This window comes from Homo sapiens, chromosome 2 (assembly GCF_000001405.40).
Source record: "Homo sapiens chromosome 2, GRCh38.p14 Primary Assembly".
NCBI lineage: Eukaryota > Metazoa > Chordata > Mammalia > Primates > Hominidae > Homo > Homo sapiens.
Genome location: NC_000002.12, coordinates 104378129 through 104392009, shown reverse-complemented (window position 1 = coordinate 104392009; position 13881 = coordinate 104378129). Strand labels below are relative to the sequence as shown.

At 41.2% G+C, this 13881-nt stretch overlaps 1 long non-coding RNA gene across 1 annotated transcript in view; it reads left to right on the top strand.

Moving 5' to 3' along the window:
• LOC100287010 (uncharacterized) overlaps nucleotides 1-13160 on the top strand; it is a 29483-nt gene extending 16323 nt beyond the window's left edge. The window contains exon 3 of the long non-coding RNA NR_037885.3: nucleotides 12271-13160. This is a non-coding gene — a long non-coding RNA (uncharacterized LOC100287010). The remainder of the gene's footprint in view (nucleotides 1-12270) is intronic.
• Nucleotides 13161-13881: the final 721 nt, after the last annotated feature.

Below are 13881 nucleotides of genomic sequence, written 5' to 3'. Positions count from 1 at the left end.
CAAGACACACAGAAACCTCCCACTGCTGGGTAGGGTTTAGGACAGGGCAAGGAAGTACGTTTATGGTCTGCAAGCAAAGATTCCTGATTGAGAATTCCCTTTATAGTGAAAGCTGGGTAATAACAGCTTTTAAAAGCTTCAATTTCCAATGTCAAGAGGTTTTTTTTTTTTTTTTTTTTTTTTTTTTTTTTTTTTTTTAAGGAGAATCTCTACTGTAACCAAAGAATTCAGCCTCAAATTCTAGAAGACCCGGTCGCCACTTATTGTGGTGTTTGTTCTCCCTGGAGCAACCTTTCTTTCCTTCCCTCTACCCCACAGCCCCCAACAAAACACACAGAAGTCACGAGCCACAATTAGCTTTGGCCAAGCTTCAGTTTAGGTTTCCTAACAAGTAAACACTAGCCCTCTTTTCCCCTAAATGACATCCTATTGATTCTCTAGGATTCATGCATTTTAGGGTATTTTGATATTTTTGCAGGGAATAAAGTTCAGTTCCCAGGTGAATGTCACTATTCTCTCCTCTTGTGTTTCCATCAAGAAACCTAAAACTTGTCATTATGTAATTCTTTTCCTTCTTTTAGAGACAGGGTCTCATTCTGTTGCTCAGGTTGGAATGCAGTGGTGCAATCAGAGTTCGCTGCAGCCTCTAACTCCTGGATTTAAGTGATCCTCCCACCTCAATCTTGGAGTAGCTGGGACTACAGGCATGCACCACCATGCCCAGCTAATTTTATTATTTTTTTGTAGAGACAGAATCTCAATATGTTGCCCAGGCTGATCTCAAACTTCTGACCTCAAGCGAATCTCCTGCCTCAGCCTCCCAAAGTGCTGGGATTACAGGTGTGAGCCACCATGCCTGTCTGCATTGTAGAGTTCTAATTACAAAGAGAAGTGAAGCTAAGAGACAAATTGCCTGATACATTCAAAGTCACCGACAGCCTTCTGGAGTTGGGATTAGAAGTTTGTTTTTGGCTTTCTAATTTCTTGCTCAGCTTCTTGTCCATAACCAGCATGATAAGAGGGGATCTCTGGTGGTCACAGCTTCCATCACACAGTGGTTTGATTAATAGGCCAACACTCATAAAGTGCACATGGTGGTGCCAGGATAGAGGAAATGCCAACAAATGCTGGTTTCTGTTATTGTTATAATTTACACCAGAGCATATTTTTCTTGCTTTGACCCAAAATACTAAGGCCATTTACCTGATAGTCCTTTTGCTTCCTGCTTAGAAAAGAGCACATTAAATATATTTTCAAGCATTTACTTCATCACATCCTTGTTACCCATAGCACTTCACAAAGCAACCTTCTTTCATCCAAACTCTGCTTCCCCTTCCAGTCATCACCCAAGATCATTGTTAGTCACTCATAATGACCCTGGGATCTCAGAGACAGTAGGATTACCAGGGAAAAATTTTATCCAATTGATGATTTCATATGTAGCTACTATTCATCAACCCCTTACGACTTACTAGTTCCCAAAGCTAAACTTCAGAAATTTATAGGTGAGTATCAGACCTCATTTTCTCATTTCTGGGGAATGGGACAGCTAGGACCGAGGTGACAGGTGACCTTAGCACACTACTCTGTCCCATAGGTAAATTTACGTATGCTGTCTTCACTTTGCCCTTATTTCCCTAGAGTTTTAATTTTATTTTAATTTTAAATTGACAAATAAAAACTGTACACACACTACTCTCTCCCATAGGTAAATTTATGTATGCTCTCTTCACTTTTCCCTTATTTCCCTAGAGTTTTAATTTTATTTTAATTTTAAATTGACAAGTAAAAACTGTACACATTTATGGTACAGTTTAATATGGTATATTTTGAAATATGAATGCATTTGAAATGGCTAAATCAGGCTAATTTACATATACATTACATCACACAGTTATGTTTTTTTTTCTGGTAAGAACACTTAAAATCTACCCTCTTGGCAATTTTCTAGAATACAATATGTACATTGTTATTAACTACAGTCAACATATTGTACAATAGATCTCTTGAACTTATTCCTCCTATCTCACTGAAATTTTGGATCCCTTGACCAGCATTTCCCACTCTCACTGCCCCCATTCCCAGCCTCTGGTAACCATCATTCTACTCTCTGCTTCTGTGGGTTCAGCTTTTTTAGATTCCACATAGAAGTGAGATCATGCAGCATTTGTCTTTCTGTGCCTGGCTTATTTCACTTAGCGCAATGTCCTCCAGATTAATTTATGTTGTCACAAATGACAGGATTTCCTTCTCTTTTTTTTTTCTTTTTTCTTTTTTTTTTAAGACGGAGTCTTGCTCTGTCGCCCAGGCTGGAGTGCAGTGGCGCGATCTCGGCTCACTGCAAGCTCCGCCTCCTGGGTTCACGCCATTCTCCTGCCTCAGCCTCCCGATTAGCTGGGACTACAGGCGCCCACCACCACGCCCAGCTAATTTTTTGTATTTTTAGGAGGGATGGGGTTTCACCATGTTGGCCAGGATTGTCTTGATCTCCTGACCTCGTGATCCGCCCGCCTCGGCCTCCCAAAGTGCTGGGATTACAGGCGTGAGCCACAGCGCCTGGGCTCCTTCTCTTTTTAAGGCTGAATAGTATTCCATTGTGTATACATAACATTTTCTTTATCTAGTCATTTGTTGATGGACACAGGTTGATTCCACATCTTGGCTATTGTGAATAGCACTACAATAAACACGAGAGTGCAGATATCTCTTAGACATACTGATTTCATTTCCTTTGGATATATGTTCGGTAGTGGAAATGCTGGATCATATGGTAATTCTATTTTTAATTTTTTGAGGAACTTCCATGTTGTTTTCCACGATGGCTGTGCTAATTTACATTTCCACCAACACAGTGCAAGGATTCCCTTTTCTCTTCATCTTCTCCATCACTTCTTATCACTTCCTTATCTTTTGATACCAGCCATTCTAACAGTTGTGAGGTGATATTTCATTGTGGTTTTGATTTGCACTTCTCTAGTGATTTGGGACCTTTTTTTCCCCATATACTTATTGGCCATTTAAATGTCTTCTTCTGAGAAATGTGTATTCAGATCCTTTGCCTATTTTTCAATTAGGTTATTTGTTTTCTTACTATTGAGTTGCTTAAATTCCTTATATATTTTGGATTTTAACCCCTTCTCAGATGAGCGATTTACAAATATTTTCTCTCGTTCTGTATGCTGCCTCTTCATTCTGTTGATTGTTTTCTTTGCTGTGCAAAAACATTTTAGGGAACACAGACATGAAACTGGGAGTTGATGGCACAGAGAATTTGCATTAAAGCCAGGAGAGTAGGTAAGCTATCTGAGGGAGGATGTAGATCAAGAAAGGAATGAGGACCAGGATGGATTCCTTTGGAATTTAAAGGCTAGGTAGAGGAGGAGGGGCCAGAAAATGATACCTAAACCAAAACAAAATCAGCCAGAGAACAGGAGGAAATCCAAGAGAGACTGATGTAAAGAAGCCAAGAGAATAGAAAACTTCCCGGATGGAGCAATCCCATGGGTTTTCACAGATGAGATGAATACCAACTAGAGTCTGTCAGCTTTAGGGACATGAAAGCCATCAGTGACTCCATGCATCTGGTATTTTAAGTATTCATCAGACGGAGATAGCTGCAAACTTTTACCCTGAGACTTTTATTTTCTAGTCTTAGAATTCTAGAGGATTTCAAATTCTAAAATGGTAACTACTTAACATACACTGATATTCTGTTTTCATTTTACCATGCATCCCACTTATAAGCTGAAATATACTTATGCACTTAAATAAGATTTTCCTCTGACTAAATTGCCAATCTCCTGAGAAAAATCTGATAAACTAAATTTTAATTAATCTCCGTTATACCCTTCTCATCTTTCCTCAAATGAATTAATTTTTTCCCATAGCAACTTAATACCTAGTTCACTTAGACACCAAGTTTCACTTTAGAGCCGTGCTTGTTTCTTGCATTTTCTGTATATTGATATTTTTTTCCAAGAAGATCATATTTTTAAACATAGGTGCTTCTTTTCTAAGATCTAGGTGATTCTAGATTCTAAGATTTTGATTCTCTATTTTTCACCTTTTATTAATCCATTTGGAAACTATTAAGCACTTTCTTTGTGCTGGGTTCTGGAGTACAAAGATGAACAAGACACAATTCTTGCCATCGCAGCTATCAACCAAGTAAGGGAGACAGAAGCCTAAGTGGACAAGTGTAATTCAGTGCCTAGGAAAGGGACACTGGATCTCCGGGAAATTCTCAGTCACACTGGAGCAGTGATGCCTGTTGTAAGACAGTTGTTTTTTGTAATGCTGTCTTGACCCAGCTTTGAGGCCCTGACTAGAGGCTGATCAGTTCCTTCTTGGCATCTGATTAAGTCCATACCTCGACCACCTTTCTTGTTGGGCTCTCACCCTCTGGGGCTCCTGTGCACCCACGTTTATCTCCCTGGGGCTAGGTGCCAGACAACTAGGGACAGATTCAATGCCTAGGAACCTGATAAAGTATTCAAGTTAGTGAACCCACAAGCAGCCTGGAAACCCAGCTAAGCCCACCTCGCTTGCCATACATAAGCTATCTCTGACAGCCCCAGCTTGCTCTTACCCTGCCCTGTTTCAAGCCCCTGTGTGGCTCTGCCGACAGCCTGCTCTGATTTGGAGCTGTAGGTAACAAGTTCTGTCTCTCACCTCTGAGTGTCTTTGTGTTGTATCTTGGCATTGAAAGAAGTTTTAAATCTTATACAACACCAGGCTGAGTCTTACATCTGTTTAGGTATTGGACAGGTGAGGAGTTGAAGTCAGAGGAGAAATCAGCCCAGGCAAGGAAGAGAGTAAACTTGTGATGAGTTTGCAGATGCACATATGGGCACCATCCGGACACTGGAAATCATGGAGAACATTTAAGCAAGAAGGAGTTACAGGCCTCCGGGCAATGACATCTCAGAGGCAGGAAGAGAAGTGCAATCCAGGGAGATGACAGCAAAAATACACCCCGAGAAGTGTGAGGCAGCAGTGTGTAGTAGGATCTGATGGATTCCATGAGTCTCTAAGGTGGGGAGTGACCTGAAATGTCAAATGCGGGGAAACTGTCCAGAAAAGTCAGCATGAGAAAGCAGGTATTGAACTGGGCAGTGAGGAGGTGGCTGGTGGTCCTAGGAAGAGCAGTTTCAGTATTGTGGCTGCTGCACATGCTGGTTCATGATGGTTTGAAGTAGGGGTGAAAGGTGAAGAACCAGAGTTAGTGAGAGAAGAACGTTCTGTTGAGGACTTTCAATAAAGAGGAGAGGAGAGAAATGAGGATGTAAGAGTGAGGAAGTGCATGTGTAATTCCTTCTCTCTTTTTTTTTCACATGGGAAAAGTTTGAGCATGTTTAAAGTACTGGAGTTGGAGGACAGGGATGGCTGATAGAACCAGGTGCTGCAAGAAGTGGTGGGTGCAGGCCAGATGTGGTGGCTCCTGTAATTGCAGAGCTTTGGGAGGCTAAGGTGCTAGGATCACTTGAGCCCAGGAGTTCAAGGCAACACAGTGAGACCCTGTCTCTACAAAAAAGTTATCCAGGCATGGTAGCATACACCTGTGGTCCCAGCTACTCCAGAGGCTGAGGCGGTAGGGTTGCTTGGACCCAGGAGTTCAAGGCTACAGTGAGCCGTGTTTGTGCCACTCTACTCCAGCCTGGGCAACAGAGTGAGAACTTGTTTCAAAAACAAAACAAAAAAGAGGTGGCGAGGGCAAAGGTGGAAGAAGGGGCTGGAACCAGAATTGCAGAGATCCTCCTGCTCAGAAAGTACCTGGTAATATATGCATGGGTATAGGGTCAATCCTCATTGAGAATTAGATTTTTGCAAATTTGCCTACTTGCTAAAATTGATTTGTAACTCCTGTTAAAAGAAAAGCTTTAGGCAAATTAAATTTAACAGAGTTTAATTGAGCAAAGGAGTCACGAAATGGGCAGAAAAGGTTCAGAGAGGACCCATGCTACTGTGTGGTCAGAGAGGATCTATGAACAGAAATAAGAAAGTGATGTTCAGAAAATGGAAGCGAGATACAAAAACAGCTGGATTGGTTACAGCTTAGCAGCGTTTGCCTCACTTCAACATGATGTGAACAGCTGACTGCCTATGAGTGGTTGAAGTATGATTGCTGTGATTGGCTGAGACTCAGCCAGCTATTGCAAGATTAGGTGATAGTCTGTTTACACGTCCAGTTAGGTGAGAGTTCACTATACACAGAGAAACCTTTAGGGTAACCTTAAAATATATAAGGTGGCAGCTTTAGGCTAGACTTAATGAACACTCCCAAATCAATTCTCTTGGTGCTTTTAAATTCATTTGTAGACATACACAGAATGGCAAAAAATTGGAGTTGCACAATGTGTATGTCCTCAGCTGAGGCTGAACAAGACGATGGTCTTGTTTCAGCTCCCTGAATAGGTGCCCTTTTCACAATCTATGTAGTAACACATTTTTCCAATCTGAGGGCTTTCTGATGGAGATTTTGCTGTTTAAAATGGCCCTCAATGGTAGTGCTGAGGTGCTTTCCAGTGTTCCTGTGTGAGATGGCTGTGATGCACCCTGTGGAGAAAATATGTGTATTAAATGAGCCTCATTCAGCATAAGTTATGGTGCTGTTGGCTGTGAGTTTAATGCAAAATGAATGAACGATATATATTTTTTAAGTGTATAAAACAAAATTTTGTATTGATTGATGAAAACGTGACTGCTACTACCACAAATAATGAAAATCAACTACATACACACACATAGGCACACACGTGTATGAGTCTATATAAGCTGTATAGATGCCTCATTTAATGACTCAGTTAATCCTCATGCCATTCTTATGTGGTAGGTCATTTCATGATCCCCTCTGTTTCAATGTGGGCTTGGAGACTCTGAGAGGGTAATGATTTTCCCAATGACACAGATTTTCCCAATGCCCTGTAAGGCGGGGCAGGGATACGAACTTGGGCAGTGTGACTCTGGGGCTGTGCTGTTAACCACTTCTGCCATGTGCCCGTTGGTGTGTGGATCTAGACTAGGAAAGAGGCTTAAAAAGAGGCTTTTGTTAGTACTGTTTGTCATCTGGAAAGTACAAGCAGAAAAAGCACATGGGTTGCCTGATCCTGGCTTGGAGATTGGTGGTGTGAGAACACAGTTGAAGCATGTTAGTGTTGAACGTATTGTCCAGAAGGACGGACTCAGCGTGGAGAGGAAGACCATGAGTCAAGGACCAAGAGTTAGTTATTATTTAAACAAGTAATAAAAAACAAAACACAAAACAAAACAAATTATATTGAGCCCTTGCCAAGTACCACTGTTCTTGGCCCCAAGATTATGATTCATAAAGCATGATTCTATCCTCAAGAAATACAAAGTTCCAAGGCACATACAGATAACAGTCTGACGGTGACATGTGTGCCCTGCAGCCCCAGGAAGATGCCTACCTGGGTCCTGTGAGTCAAAGTGGCTTCCCATAGGAAATGCCACCTGAATTCAGTTGGAGAAGGATGAATAAGGCGCGTGACTTTGAACCTCTTGAAACTTTAGATGCCTCAACTTTGAAATGAGGATCAAAATAGTTTGACACAGGTTGTTATGAGAATTAAATGTAGTACTTCAGTGAAGCCCTTAGCATGGTGCCTGAAACATACTAAGCCTTTACTAGAAGATGCTATTACAGCAATATTATTTAGTAGGTGGAGAGCAGAAAGAAGGATGTCTAAGGAAGGTGAAGAACCAAAAGAAGGAAGCAACATGACTGTGGGCTGGGCAGCAAACAGAGCTTTTGGTGGGTACAGGGATGGCCCAGAACATGGTGGGGGTAGTAGCGGGGAGGCAGAAAGTAGCAGGGCCAGATTTCATCCACATCAAGGAAGGATGGACTTTTTAATGAGATGTGATTTTCAGGGCAGAGATTTTGAGTAAATTAGAAGCCCAGGTAGTTAACAGTGAATTGTTAGGCCAGGTACGGTGGCTCACAGCTCTAATCTCAGCACTTTGGGAGGCCAAAGCAGGAGGATCACTTAAGCTCTGGAGTTCAAGACCAGCCTGAGCAACATGGCAGAACCCCATTTCTAAATAAATAAATAATAAATAAATGACAGTGAATTGTTTCTATAACTGTGCTGGTTTCCTTGACTCACTCCTCCATGAGATACCTAGCTTCCTAGTTTAACCTCCTTCCTATCACCACATTTATCTACATATTCAGATTAGTTTTATTCTGGGTCCTCAGGGAAAATGAGCTGGTTTTATCATCTCTGGACACTCCATTCCTTCATTCATTCATGCATTCACTCACTCACTCATTCAGACTTTACTAACTCTCTTGTGTCAGGACTTTCCTCTGCATGCTAAGGGGTACACAGTGAGAAACATGGAGGCACTCAGAATCTTGGCAGAGAGACAGAGAGGAAAACAAATAATAATAGCTGTGGGAAGTGGCGGTAAGAGATTGATAAGAAGAAGCTCTTGGGGGAACATAGATGAGAGATGGGATAGAGGATAAAATATAAGGAATCCAGTGAAATGGACACATGTTTGCAAGATCTGGAGGTTCATGCTTGACCATTGGTACTGACCAGACACTTACGTTTTGGCAAATCTCTCCTAAGATGATAACATCTTACATTTGTGGGAACTAGGATAGAGCACACCCAGTGAATACCATACAAGGTTGAGTTTCCTAACCTCCTAGAATCTGAAGAAAGTTTAACCTTTTCCCTGGAAGTACAAATTTTTGATATAAAATAATCACTGAACTTCTAAACTCCATTCATGGCCAGGTATGGTGGCTCACACCTGTAATCCCAGCACTTTGGGAGAGTGAGGATCACTTGAACTAGGTGTTTGAGACCAGCCTGGATAACACAGTGAAACTATGACTCAACAAAAAAACTAAAAAATTAGCCAGGCATTGTGGCACATGCTTGTAGTCCCAGCTACTCGGGAGGCTGAGGTGGGAGAACTGCTTAAGCCAGGGAGGTTGAGGCTGCAGTGAGCCATGATCACGCCACTGTACTCTAGCCTGGGTGACAGAGTGAGACTCTGCCTCAAAAAAAAGTTAAAAATGAAAATTAAAATCCATTAATTGCTGACAATTATAAATTTTGCTTTGAATAATAAAGTTATATAGAATGTTCTACCTCTTCAGCAAAGAAACCATCAAGCCTGCAAGCTCAAGGACCTATGTTCTAGTATCATAGAAGGGGATTTGGGCCAATACAGCTATCAATTATCCCCACTCACCTCTGGTCACCATCATGACTAGCTCCAAGAATCAGTAGTGTTCTGACTGAAACTGATCTTTCCAATTAATGAGAAGGATACGTTGGGTAACCAAATGACTTTCCAAGAGGAGAAAAGCAACCTCTGTTGACAAGTAACACAGACTACCTTGTTTTCAACAGAAGGATTCAAAATACGATTGCGAATGTAGTGATTAACACTGTAAGCTGGGTTGGGGGTGAGACAATTTGTCTCAGGAGGGTTGAAACAGGATATGATTTTGAGAAATATCAACCCCACTTTTTAAATTAACTTATTGACAAAATACTGTCAAGATTCTTTAAGGAAACTACATCTATGGTAAAAGTATTCTATATGTTTTTGAAAATAGCTTTATGCTGCAGATGGTAGGAAAGAATAAATTAACTAAAATATCTTTAATGTTCTTTTCTAGCACTGTGACTAGTAAAATATATTTCAAGCCCCAAATAAAAGAGTCGATGTGAACTTGATCTATCTCAGGTAACCAATAAGCATTTCAAACTCTCATGTCAGGGATTTTTAATGATTGTAGAAGACATTTCTTAAAATATTTTACACTCACTGACCTCATCTGCTTCAATGAAAGCACTGCCCTAAGCCTTCAGTCATCTTTCTAGAGGCCTACTGCTGCTATCTAGAGTTCACAGCCAAGATTGATTACGTTTACTACGTGGTACTGAAAAATCGATTCAATATTAGAAAATTGTGAAAATTACAGACATTTAATATGATGCCAACCTACTAATTGCCGTGAGTTCAGGAACAAAGGAAATATTAGTAGGTGCAAATATGGTATTACTAGATAAAATTCCACTTTATATTTTCCCCCAATCTGGCAACTCTGGTAGAGTAGCATCTTTCAAATGTGTTCTTCAATCACATTTGAATACATACATTTGAATCTATGACTGTGTCTTGACCTAAGAAAGGAAAGTCCTCTTCAGGAAGAAGCCCTGTCTTTGCAAGTAGAAATAATTGACTCAACAGGCATAATGTGATTCACTTTTAAAGTATGTTCTTCCATATGACGCTTTGGTAGTAATAGTAACGATCTTTCTTATTTTATGCTCCACTAGGGCATATGTGGCCAATTGTATCGCCAGTGTAAGTCTGGATTACTTTCTATTACTTTCTATTGATAATTGTTAATAACCGAAGACATTTGGAACTAAAAGGCAGTCAGTGGTGCTTGCAACAAAGCAGGGGCAATTAAGATGGGTGAGGGTTTTAAACTCTGCATTGGTCTGTGCACATCGGGAGAGGCAGTCAGCCATTAAAAAAATTAAACCATTTGGGTCTTGGGTTAAGGTCTGTGAACTCTTTAATGTCATAATTGCCTGCTGCCTCAATCATCAAACTGAATGAACTTCTAAGTTGAAATGTCATAAACGCTCAGCGTAAAGATTTATATAACCCAGGTATCCGACCTACCGCCAAGCCATGCCTGTGGCAGGGAGTGTTTGTTATGTCTTACTCAACCTTTTGGGAAAAAAATAAATAAATCCGGAAATGTGCTTGTTCTGGCAATGATCAAAACATTAAGAACCAATTCTTTTATCTGTATGGTGTGTTCAGATTCTGTGATAAACATATCCATTTCCTATAAAAAATAATTTAGATACAAATTCCTTTAGTAGAAAAAGGTTAGTGTCATGTTTTCCCACTGTATACTTAGCCAAAATGTGATAGGAATATTTTTAGTTAGAGTAAATTCTTTTTTCTGAAGAAGTACATTATTTTGTGATGTTCAGTTACATTTTGATCCTCCCTAAAGAAAAATCCAAATTTCATCATGTGTTTATTATAAATGTGTGCTAAATAAAAACCCAATATTTTGTAGTCAGATATTATTTGGAATTTCTCCTTTTTATATAATATGGGATTATTTTAAAGTCAGTGATTCATATAACCCAAAATAATACCATATTTTTCTTGTTATACAGAAGTAAAAACAAAATTTCAGAGACACTGTGACAAAAGTTCTCTTAGTTCTGCCAAACCAATATGTACTTACCAAGTCATAAAAATTGTGTTCATTAAACCCTTACAAATCAATAATAAAAATAAAAATAAAAAGTGAGCAAAAGACCCGAACAAACCCTTGACAAAAGAAGGTATATAAGTGGTTAATAAGTATGTCAAAATAAATTCAACATCATTAGTTACTAGGGAGGTGCAAATTAAAACCACAATGAAATACCACATATGCCTTCGTATGGCTAACATTTAAAAAGACTGAGAATACTTAGTTGATAAGAATGCAGAGCGTCTGGAACTCTTATGCACTGATGGTGGGAGCATGTATTAAGAGCTGGTTATATTACATGCTGACACAAATGAGGAAGCACAAGAGGATGGCCCTGCCCAGGAGACAGCCAGTGTGCCAGGGAAGCTGGTCAGGAAAACAGATGATTCCCGCACTGTGTAAAGTGTAGGGTATGCAGCAGATCCTACGGAAGCCCTTGGGCTGGTGTTCTGCCAGATAGGGCTAGGGACAGAAGGCAGGCAGGGGCAGATTTTAGGTGGCATTTCAGCCGAACCTGAAAAGACTAGGGGTGAGTCAGAGAAAGAAAGAAAGGAGAGAAAATAGGTCACCAAACACAAAATGATAGATATTTTTAAAATATGGCAGATTTAGGGAACTTTTGAAAGCCAAAGGGAATAATGGGGATGGGCAGAAATAGCAGGCAGGAGGATACAGAGAAGGGCAGGAATTACATATTTGAAGTACGAGGTATGCTACCATGCTGAAATATTTGGTCTTTGTCCTGAAAGCTATGAAAATACAATAGAGGTTTTAAAACTGGGAAATGTGATCAGATTTGGCTTTTGGAAAGACTGCTTTTTGAGCAGCATTGAAAATTGATGGGATGTAGGTATGATGGAAGACAAGGCAGTCAATTGACTACTTAAAAATCACTTATAATTCACTATAACCAATATGGAGTTATCTCTTTCAGTGATCCAGGTCTTGATATCTGGAGGTTGCCACCAAACACGTGTGTGTTTTCTCTTTAGATGTTTGGTTTTCTTCCTGAAAGCTGTGCATTGTATGATAAAAATGCTGAACATCCCTCAGCAATGCTACTGAAGAAAGCAAACTTACGCAGATGATGACAGCATTATTTTGCCAAAAATTCATAATATTCAAAATAACATTTCATCAGAGAGAAACTACCTTCCATCAAAGACCATCAGAATCCAAGGAATCATGCAGCCTGTACACCCCCTGCCTGTTCTCAGCAGTTTCTGTCTGGCATGCCTCAATGGGCCCCGGACAAAGAGACCCTCAAATCAGCGAGGCTGAAGAAGAAAGGCAATTTGAAGCCTCTCTCCTCCAGTTTAAAAGGCAGTTTCTAAAGTGCTTGCAGCAAATCAGCTTATGGTCAAAGTGCACACCAATAAGAGACATCAGGTATGGGTCACAAAGGCTGTATGAAGCAGATTTGACTATGTCAGTCAGAGTCTGCCTGGAAGACAGCTCGTGCCCAGATGGTTTATCATGGGTATCTAATACAAAAGCAAGTCACAGAGGTATTAGAAGATCTGAAAACAAGGGAAGTGAAGCAATCCAGACACTGACAACTGCAGGAAGCTGTTACCACAACAAGGGTTGGAGGGGCAAAGAGAAGGGATATATATACCAGGGTCCAGGAGATGGGGCCTTTGAGGGCTGATCTGCTTGGTGAGAACAGACTTCCAGGAGAGATAAAGCCCATGCTGGAAAAGCCTGTGGACACAGAGATGAGTTACGAATACCATAGCTTCACCCCTCCTCCACCGACCCTCTAATTTCCTGTAAGTGCTTCCATTGGCTGAATCTAACAGGAAGTGGTGGGTAAAGACTTCTGGGAAGTGTAGTTTGCATTGTTATCCCACTGTTCTAGAGGGCAGGGATGGGCTTCCTGGGCTAGAGGGGTACTTGAGGGCAAATGGATTACCTATCAAGTCAGTTGATCTTGGCATGTGTTTCCTGCAGTAAACAAAGAGCAGTTAGAGCCTGCTAATTTGTCTGTTTTCAATGAGAAGACAGTAACATATCGTATAGTTACCTTGATACGGGAGTGCGGGAGGGAAGTGCTGGGTAGAGAAAGGCGGGTTCCTGGCTAGGGCTCCCCTCCAACAGACTAGGTGAGGACAGGCACTCCTGCTTTCAGCCCAAATGTTGCATTTTCCAAGACCACCCTGGTCTGCCACGCCCCCATCCTGGACTTATAAAAACCTGAGACCCTAGCCGGCAGACACACAGGCAGCCAGTTGTTGAGAGGAGCACATCACCAGAAGAAAACACAAGCGGCTGGAAGGCGAGAGGATGTCAAGGGAGCATGCCAGCAGAAGAGCACACTGACAGATGCCAGCACACCCTCAGGCCATCGACTGGTGGGACAAGGCAGAGTTTGGCTGGGGCAGTTAGAGGAGAGCCGGGGGCCACTAAGGGCCCAACTCCACGGGAAAAACCATCTCCCTTCTGGCTCCCCCATCTGCTGAGAGCTACTTTCACTCAATAGAATTTTGTACTCATTCTCCAAGCCCACGTGTGATACAATTTTTCTGGTACACCAAGGCAAGAACCTGGGATACAGAAAGCCCTCTGTCCTTGTGACAAGATAGAGGGTCTAACTGAGCTGG